At 49.5% G+C, this 9,882-nt stretch overlaps 1 annotated feature.

The window, feature by feature from the left end:
• Positions 260-759: an enhancer, noted in NCBI's record as "H3K4me1 hESC enhancer chr3:14661555-14662054 (GRCh37/hg19 assembly coordinates)". NCBI's record gives its function as "activates a minimal SCP1, AML or CMV promoter by ChIP-STARR-seq in primed H9 embryonic stem cells {active_cell/tissue: H9 hESC(primed)}" and the evidence as "EXISTENCE:reporter gene assay evidence [ECO:0000049][PMID:30033119]".

Consider the following 9,882-nt stretch of genomic DNA (forward strand, 5'->3'; position numbering starts at 1 on the left):
TAGAGTTGAGCTGTGGGTGGCATGGAGTGAGGCAGTGGTTTGGGAATGCAGAGCAGGTGGGGGAGATTACACTCAGAGGTCCTCATTCTTCACCCCCTGCAGCCTCCTCCTTGCCATTTAACTCCGCAGCATCCCCACTCCATGCTGGGCTTGGCCTCATGAGTTGCTTGATCCATAAAATGCCGGCAGGTGTGACATCAGCACAGACTGAGATGGGCCTGTGCCCTTGGGGGCAGGCTGACTCTTGTGCCTCCGCCATCACTGGCCATGGGGCTAGTCTGGTGAAGAAGAGACATGTAGAGTTGCCCCAGGCCAAGGCCAACCTAGATCAGCCCACAGCCAGCCAAACCCCAGACACATGTGTGAGCCCCACAGAGATGAGCAGAGCTGCCTAGCTGACCCCAGACACATGAACAAATGCATATTGTTGCATACACTAAGAGTTGTCGTTGCTTGTTACACAGCAGCCTTGTCAAGCCAGACAACTGATGGAGAAGGAAACAGCCACACATGGATGGTCTGCACGTGAGAGGGAGAGCACAGGAGTCAAGGAGGACTCCCAGGTTTCTGGGTGATCGGCACACCCTACATCAGATGAGGAAGGGTCAGGAGGATAGCAAGGGAACAGGTTTGGTGGAGAAAATCAAGAGTCCTCTTTTATCTGAAGGATAACAGGGAGCCATTGAGGGCTCTTGAAGCAGGAAATTGACCTGGTCAACATCACGGTGATGAAAGGGGGTCTTGAACTGAATGCTCTCATCACCAAATGTGTTTCCTGCCTGGGGCTTTACCAGAAGGTTGAACTTACACAAATGTCTTTTGTCCATTCTATTCCCAGAGAAAAACAGACTTCGTTTTCCCCTTTTCCAGTTGCTAGGACACTAATCTGCCTGAGAAAGGCGTGGGAACATCTGGTTGGCGGGAACCTGCTTCTGGGAATTTCTTGTGTATCTGCAATTCTATTGATTCTCCTGTCACTCCTGATGGCCAAGGCTTTCTAGCCGGGGAGGAGGTAGATCCTGGCTGGTCACATGGGCAGCTGTGCCGGAGAGTAGGCAGGGAGGGGAAGGACACACCGTTAGTGAGCACCAACTAAATGCCAGGCCTGTGCTCAAGACAGGTGCATGGGCTCCTTCATTAACCCCAGAGGGGCCCGTGCTCAGAGAGTAAAGGAATTGCCTGAGCCTTATCCTGTTTCTTTCTTCCAAATACAGATACTAGATTTGGTCTGGTATTATCTGTCTCCCTCCTTCGAACAGAAGCTCCATGCCATTGATTATCTTGTTTTGTTCACTCCTGTACCTCTGTTGCATAGAAAAAAGTCTGACACGTAGAAGTAGTACATAACATTTATGGAGTATTTGCTAAGTGCGTGGCACTTTGTGAGTTCTTTAGATATTACTAAGGCCTTTAAACTTCAAAATGACCCTAAGAAGTGGGTATTGATTTTGTTCCCATTTTATAGATGAGAAAACTGAGGCACAAGGGGATGAAATAACTTGCCCCAGGAAGAAACAGAACTGGGAATCCCAGGCAGCTTGACCCCAGAACCTGCGCTCAGAGAGATAACCCCGCAAAGAGCATGTGTTGAATGAACTAATGACCTTGCCCTGGACCCCACAGGGAAATGGGGTTTCAGCCCCTGACAGTGCTGACTCCAAAGCTGAGGTTCTTTGAATTCCAATTTGAAATCAAATCAGCAGGCCTGGTGTGGTGGCTCACGCCTGTAATCCCAGCACTTTGGGAGGCAGAGGCGGGCGGATCTCCTGAGGTCAGGAGTTCGAGACCAGCCTGGCCAATACGGTGAAACCCCATCTCTACTAAAAATACAAAAAGTAGCTGGGCATGGTGGTGCACACCTGTAACCCCAATTACTTGAGAGGCTGAGGCGGAGAATCGGTTGAACCCGGGAGGCAGAGGTTGCAGTAAGCCAAGATCGTGCCATTGCACTCCAGCCTGGGCAACAAGAGCGAAACTCCATCTCAAAAAAATAAATAAATAAAAAGAAAAAATCAGCAGTTCTCCCTCAGGGACCTTCTGTCTCCCTCCCTCATACACACCACCACCACCAAACCTCATCTGCCTGCACCTTCTTGAGGTGTAGGGGCCCAGGAGTTGGGGGGCTAGGGTTCCCCACTGAGGAGGGAAGACCTCAGGTGGGCCATGCTCAGAAGCACTCAGGTGTGGGATCCTGCGCTTCCCTCAGTACCTTGCCAGGCTCCGGGCTCAGCTGGAGTAGGTGAGTAGGGGTGAACACACAAGGTGAGTCCAATGCAGCTGAGAACAACCCAGGGCACAGCTGGCGTCCTCCTGCTGCCCCGGAGCAATGATCCTCACTGGGGGCTGACAAGGACAGCCAGGGCGCCGCAGGCCCAGGCCCCTTGCCGGGACCCCCTGCTCATTATGGCCCCTCATCCCACCCTTCTTCAGGTGGGAAACTGTTCAATATTCTGAGGTCTAGGTCACCTAGTTCTTCATTTGTTCTTTCCAAATCTATTAATTAGAACGTGAACCTACGCTCTGGCTCAGGGATTGGATTCCAAAAACCAAAAGGCCAGGCGCAGGAAAATCTTGGTCTTGGAATTCAAAGTTCTGGCATTTGAAACTAAAAAATCTTGGCTTTTGAAACTCAAAGATTTCTGCCCCCCCCTGCCCCCGATGTTTCTGCCTTTCATTTTTTCCCTGAAACAATGAATGCCACTAGGAGACGGGGAGAGAGCAAAGGATTCAAGGAAAGGGCAGGTGTGTGTGTGTGTGTGTGTGTGTGTGTGTGTACATGCATGCGCATGCACGTGCACTCACACGTGTGGGGGAGGGAGGCCGTCAGCAAATATTTGTGGATAAACAGTTAAGAAACCCTTTCTCTTCTTAAGAACAAATTGGATCTTGGGTTAACTTACCAGCTCTGTCAATCCTAGAAACCATATAAAGGTTGAATGTCAGCTGTGTTGCCAGGCAACACTGTTTATATTAAAATGACCCTTGATTGGTGAATTAGACCTGGACTGGGAGGACCACGAAGGAATGACAAGTGTCCGATGGAGACATCATAATGCTTGGCTTTCCCATGTGCAGTGACTCTTGTAAATGGTTATATCCCTTGCAGGCACCTGTGGGCTTTGCACATGGAGCTGTTGTTATAAGGAGCGTTAGTGCCTATGGGCATGAGTCTTTAGGCCCACGCTGCAGTGCAAGTGTGGCTCTCATCTCCTGCGACCTCAGTGGTCATCTGGTGACCAAACAAGATCAGCTCCCTGACTACTGCGAAGACTCTGGGATGGGAAGGGCCTGGTGCCACCCTCAGGGAGGCTGCTTTCTGGACTGTGTCCTGAGTGACAAGTGTGTCCTATGGTCAGGTGTGATCATTCATTTTCTAGTTGAATGCAAAGAAACCCCCTGGTGGCATTCCCCATTAGCTTACTTCTCTGTTTCAGTGACTGCCAGGGAGGCATTAGCTGGAGCGACCTCTACAAAAGGGAGGAAGGCAAGTGCCCACTGCATGATCAGGGCTTCTGCATGCTGCACAGAGCTCACACCATCCCAAGCACTCTCTTCAGGTAGAATAACCAGGCCCTTTTAACAGAGGAAGAGACTGCGGCTCCCAGAGGTAGACACTTGCTGAAGGTCACACAGCAAGCTGGTGGCAGAGCCTGGATTTGAACCTGAACTGGTCTGGAAGACTTATATTCTAGTACTGGCTCTGCCAGCTATGAGCTGGGAGACTTGTGTGCTGCTCCAAACCTCACTTTCTTCCCTAAAATAAACGAATACAATCACACTACCATACAGGGAGGCTGTGAGGCTCAAGATAAACTGCTTCCAGAAGCCAGGCACTACAGTGCAGCAGAATCCAAAATCTCCCCCTCTCCCCCACCCTGTCTGCTGCCAACCCACCCCAGGGGCTGTACTAGCTGACAAGTTTCTAGTTGCCATCAGCTATGTGGCAGATGTCCCCAGTTTGGCAGAACAGCATTTCCTTGGCACAGATTGTCCCAGGGCACAGCTGAGACAGAGGTTCTGGCTATGTCAGTGGCCAAATCTGATTTAAAATGGGGAGGCCGATTGCCAGCATTCCAGATCGTCCCTAGTAAATGTGAGTAAACAGAGCTGTTGTTAAAGCAGTTGGAGTGAGTCCACTCATTCAATAAATATTTCATGAACACCTACTTTGTGTCAGGCATTGTGGATACTGTTAACCGTGAGCACACATAACGTCTGCTCTTAGGGTTTCAATCTCAATGGAGACAGACACTAATCAAGGAACCACTCAAATTACTATATAGTTTTTAAAAGCCAGTAAATGTTACAAATGCAAATTACAGGGTGCTATGAAACCTTGTAACAGGAGGTCTGTTGTAAACTGCTGTTGTATTGCCCACTCAGCCTCGTGACCTCATCTTCTTAATTTTCCTTCAGGGACGTACTTTTTCCTTCCATCAGCCCATGTAACTCAGGCGGGAAGGAGTTTATGGTGGGCACATGACCCTGCCTGATGGGAACACTCCATTCTCTGACCACTCCAATGACTGGTCAAAGATATGCATGTGACCTAAGTCGGGCCAATGAGATTCGACTCTGGGACTTTTGTAGGGACAACTGGAAGAGGGTTGTTCTCTCTCAATTGGGGTTTCTAAGCTGGAAGCTCAAATATCTTGAGCTTAAATAGGAGCCCCAGGGGAGAGCTTGCTTAAGCCTGGAGCCTCACAGAGGAAAGGTGAGAGATTTTTCACTAGGCAGCTTCTGGCAATGTCATTTGAGACCCTAGATCTAGCTATACCTGAAGCCAGATACTAGCTGGGCTTTTCCATTATCTGAACCAACAGTCACCCTTTTTGACTTAAGTCACTTTAAGTTTGTTTTTCCACCCCTTGCAATCAAGAGCTCTGCCTGATACAGGACTAAAGGGTTTTGGAAAGCTTCCCTGAGAAGTGACATTCATGCTGAGTGCTGAAGGACAAGTAAGAGTAAACTAGGCAAAGAGGCCAAGTCTGAAGTCAGCAGTTTTGGGGTTTAAAAACCTTGAGAAATTTGGGAAAGGGAAGGGGCCTTCATCCTGTGTAGACAGAAAAAGAATTAATGAAGGGATATCACCTGGGAGAAAAGGCAAGTTGCAAATCACACTTAACCCTTAAATCATTTGTTGTTTTTCATTTCAATAAACATGGAAATTTTCATCCCTATTCACTTTTGAAAAGATCTATATTATAATAAGCTCCCTTTGCAGACAGAAGGTGCCCTTCCCTGCACCAGCCATTCCCAAGGGGGTGAGGCCTAAGCCTGCCTTCAAAACCACCTCTGCTTCTGGCTTTGGGGTACTTTTAAAAGAAAGGAAGAAGGCAGGGGGAGGAAGAGAGGGAGGGAGGAAGGGAGGAGAAATAAGAAAGCAAGAAAGAACAATTAAAGCAAAAAGCAATTACAGACTGTAAATGGGACCTACTTTTAAATGCAAATAACCATTTCATAATTTACTAGTTTTATGACATTGTGTAATTTTGTGCCTCAGATTTTCTTAAATTTTAAGCGTTTATTTTTTTCATCACAAAAGTAATATAATCACATTTTGGAATGTGTAGAAGAGAAACAATAACTCTTTCTAATTTCCTTGTTTCAACCCAGCCAAAGTTAGTTTTTGCCACTTTTCTTCTTTTTGTTTGGCTAGTTCCGTGCAACATACAGAGTGCACTACTTTTCAAGCTTCAATGTGCATATGGGTCACTTGGAGATTTGTTAAAATGCAGATTCTGACTCAGTAGGTCCCGGGGCCGGGGATTCTGCATTTCTGATAATCTTCCCAGTGGTGGCAGGGCCAGTCCCAGACCACACATTGTGTCAGCGGGAGCTGAGGTCAACTCCAGGCTGTGTGGCTTCACGCAACCCACTCAGCATTTTTGTCCCAGTCCCTGAGTTCTGGTTTTTAGGAGTCTCCTGTTGGCCCCTGAACTGGATGAAGGGGACAGAGAGTCAGAAGATGTCTAAGGCACCAATGTCTAAGTGCTGCTAAAACGTCCCTGGGAGAAACATGTGGGTTTGAAAGGATAGCTTTGAGAAGCTACTGAGGTAGGGGTGACACCCTTGAGGAGGCTGTTCCACAGGGGGCTCCACAAAGGGTGGGCCCCAGTAACTCCTTCTTTTTTATTTCTTTTTTTTTTGTGGGGGACGGAGTCTTGCTCTGTCGCCAGGTTGGAGTGCAGTGGCATGATCTCGGCTCACTGCAACCTCCACCTCCTGGGTTCAAGCGATTCTCCTGCCTCAGCCTCCCGAGTAGCTGGGACTACAGGCGCCCGCCACCACACCCAGCTAATTTTATTATTTTTGTAGAGACGGGGTTTCACCATGTTGGCCAGGATGGTCTTGATCTCTTTTTCTTTTTCTTTTTCTTTTTTTTTTTTTTGAGACGGAGTCTCGCTCCGTCGCCCAGGCTGGAGTGCAGTGGCGTGATCTCAGCTCACTGCAAGCTCTGCCTCCTGGGTTCATGCCATTCTCCTGCCTCAGCCTCCTGAGTAGCTTGTACTACAGGCACCCACCACCATGTCCAGCTAATTTTTTGTATTTTTAGTAGAGACGGGGTTTCACCATGTTAGCCAGGATGGTCTCGATCTCCTGACCTCGTGATCCACCCACCTCGGCCTCCCAAAGTGCTGGGATTATAGGCATGAGCCACCGCGCCTGGCCAGTCTTATCTCTTGACCTTGCAATCTGCCCACCTCAGCCTCCCAAAGTGCTGGGATTACAAGCGTGAGCTAGCGCATCTGGCCAGCCCCAGCAACTTCTTTTTTTAAATTTAATTTAATTTAATTTATTTATTTATTGAGACGGAGTCTTGCTCTGTCACCCAGGCTGGAGTGCAGTGGCACAATCTCGGCTCACTGGAACCTCCGCCTCCCGGGTTCAAGCAATTCTCCTGCCTCAGTCTCCCGAGTAGCTGGGATTACAGGTGCGTGCCACCATGCCCAGCTAATTTTTTGTATTTTTAGTAGAGACAGGGTTTCACTGTGTTAGCCAGGATGGTCTCGATCTCCTGACCTCGTGATCTGCCCGCCTCAGCCTCCCAAAGTGCTGGGATTACAAGCATGAGCCCCCACGCCCTGCCAGTCCTAGTAACTTCTAAGAGAGTGGTGAGGTAACTGCAGGGCTGCCTTAGGGGGGTGGGCGTGGGGTGCAAGATTGGCAGCTGAGTGCAAATGCTCAGGCAGTGGAGCAGAGGCCAAAGCTGCCACTCACATCTTCCTCTCCCCTTCCTTAGACAACACCACTCCTCTTCCACAGGAATGCTAAACACATAGTTAATTAGATTTGGCTGTGTAGGTGGGCCAGATGATTAGCTTGTCCAGGTTACCTCAGACATCAGCTTTGCCACGTGTTCACAGAACGCGTTCCCAGCTGAAATCTTAGGATATTAAGTCCTTAAGATGTCTGCTTGCAGGCAATGAGGAGATACTTTCTGCAGGAGACATTCATTAAGTCTCCACGGCCCCAGCAAGGTCTGACTCACCCTCTCTTCTGCTTACCACACACAGGCATCTGCCCTCCCCCTACTCCCACCCTCCCACGCACCCCCTAAACCTCCAACCCCCGCCCAGGCCTCCCACAGGAGAAAAGCCTCCTAGCCTAGCATTCAAGCTCCATGATCTGGCCCCTGCTCACACCTCTGCCTCATCTTCGGTACACCAGCCACACAGAAGCACTCCTAGTTTCCACCTCCACGCCTTTGTGTGCAATTTCCTCTGCCTCAAATGCCCTTCCCTGCTTTGGTCACCAAAAAAACACTTCTATTCATCCCTCGAAGCCTAAAATCAGAGGCTCCCTTCCTCAGAAGGCTTCCCAGTCCCTTTCATGAAGTGCTAACCTCCTCCCCGTGCCTTCTTTGTGACTTGTACAGACCTTACAGAAGGCATGAACTTTTGGTAGCAAATGGCTTAGGGGGAAAAAAAGGAGGAGGAGGATTCACAGGCTCATGTAGTAGAAAAGTTCAGGTGTTAGACACAGGCTTCCGAGGCAGCTGAGGCAAAGGGTGAAAACATGCTGCTGGGCCCCTGCCTCTAGCTGTCTATCGATCCTACCTTCCTTCACTCTCAAGCAGCCCCCAGGAGCCCCTGCCTTTACCCTGCCTGCTTTAAGTTCAGCAGACAGCTTCCCTCTCCCAGTAGCTACACAAGGTCTCAGAATTGATTCTCAACGGTCCAGCGTGGGTCACAGGCTGGTTCTTGAACGAATCACTCTGGCCAGGGGATCGACAGCTCTGATTGGCCCAGCCTGAGTCACATGGCCACCCATGGGGGGCCAGAAGGTCTGAAGTGGGCAGGGATGGATTCTGGAGGGAAATGAGGGTTCCAGAACCAGAGGCCCTGTGGGGATCCCACAACCAAATGCCGCAAGTGCCCACCAGAGACATCTCTTAGTGCTCTTTTCACAGTGTACCATGATTTATGTCTCTCCTCCAGCTAGGTAGGGTACCAGCATTCTTTTAATTTATAACTCCAGAACATCATTCCAGCCCAGGGGAAGAGGAGTTTACGAAAGGATCATTAAATTGCACTTTTTAGGCATTTACTTGCTATGTGACCTACATAGCAAGTAAATCAGAACAGAGTCTGACAAGGATTTTTGTGACATGTATATTAAGGTAATACTTCTTGACATCTTTAAAACCATAAATTGAGGTTTTGCTCAGTGTCCATGTTGTTCAGGGTGAGTCCATGTGTCTCTCCTTGAATCTTCATGACACAGGGGGAGGAGGACTTCCTCCTTGACAAGTGACAAAACTGAAGCCCAGAGACCTTAAGTAGCTTATCTGAGGTGACACTGCTGGTGAGCGGAATTGCTAGAGGTTCATCCCAGGCCGCTGCCTCAGAAGCCGTGCGCTCTCCACTGCCCCTGTGCAGAGAGGGTGGCATACCTGGACTTTCTGGTGGTTTGCTGAAGGAGTTCTCAATTCATTTGGGGCAGGGAGGGGAGGATCTCAAAAGCACCTCTATGTCTTGTTGAAAATATTCCTCTGTCTTGGTCCAGGCTTCCTCAGAGGCAGACCCTAAGGCAGGGATGCAAGTGCAGGTGTTTTCCTTGGGAGAGGAGGCTGGGTGCACTGCTAAGAGAGGGCCTAGTGAGACAGGGAGGGGAAGACAGCCCACCAAGAGAGTTCAGGCACCAGCCACCTCCACAGGCAACTGGAGCGGAATGCCATGGAGATGTGCTGAGAGCCAAGGAGGACCAGAGCTCACAGTGTTGTATCTGAGGGGAAAGGGAGTGGGCATGTTTATTCCCCACTATATTCAGCCATTGGTCAGGGCTGCTCCCAGGGGCAGGAAGTTGTCAGCCCATCCAGCAGCGAGAAGAAGGCCTCGGGCACTGCCAGATGGATAGGGCAGTGTGGCCTGAAGAGGCTGGGGCCTCCCACAGAGCACAGACAGAGGCTGCCAGAAGCCTTTTCCTCCCAAGCTAGGAACCACTCTTCATAGAAAACAGGCCCAAATACTGAAATCAGGGCATTGCAGACCCTTACTGCTAGAGCGTCTCAGGCACCTGGTCTGCAAAGCCTGGGGCAGCCCCTGGCAGATGTGGCCGGTTGGCCCCATTCTTGCCAGGATTGTTTCTTCTCTTTGCTTTTCCCTTCGCCCTTCTTGCTGTTTTCCTCAATTTTTATGAGTATTGCACAAAGATGCTCATAAAGAATATACTGGGGGCTCAAAATGCAGCATCTGTGGTTCGGTGAACAACACAAGGTAATTACTTTCCATTTCTTCTAAGAAAATTATAAAATATCCCAGACACACAAAGAGAAGAAACAGTAACGCAATGAACGAACACCCATGCACCCACCCCCAAGCCAAAGAACTAGGCCATTGCAAGCTGATTCCATCACTTCAGGAACCCCCAACCCCTGAG

Source organism: Homo sapiens, chromosome 3 (genome assembly GCF_000001405.40).
Source record: "Homo sapiens chromosome 3, GRCh38.p14 Primary Assembly".
In the NCBI taxonomy this organism is placed as follows: domain Eukaryota; kingdom Metazoa; phylum Chordata; class Mammalia; order Primates; family Hominidae; genus Homo; species Homo sapiens.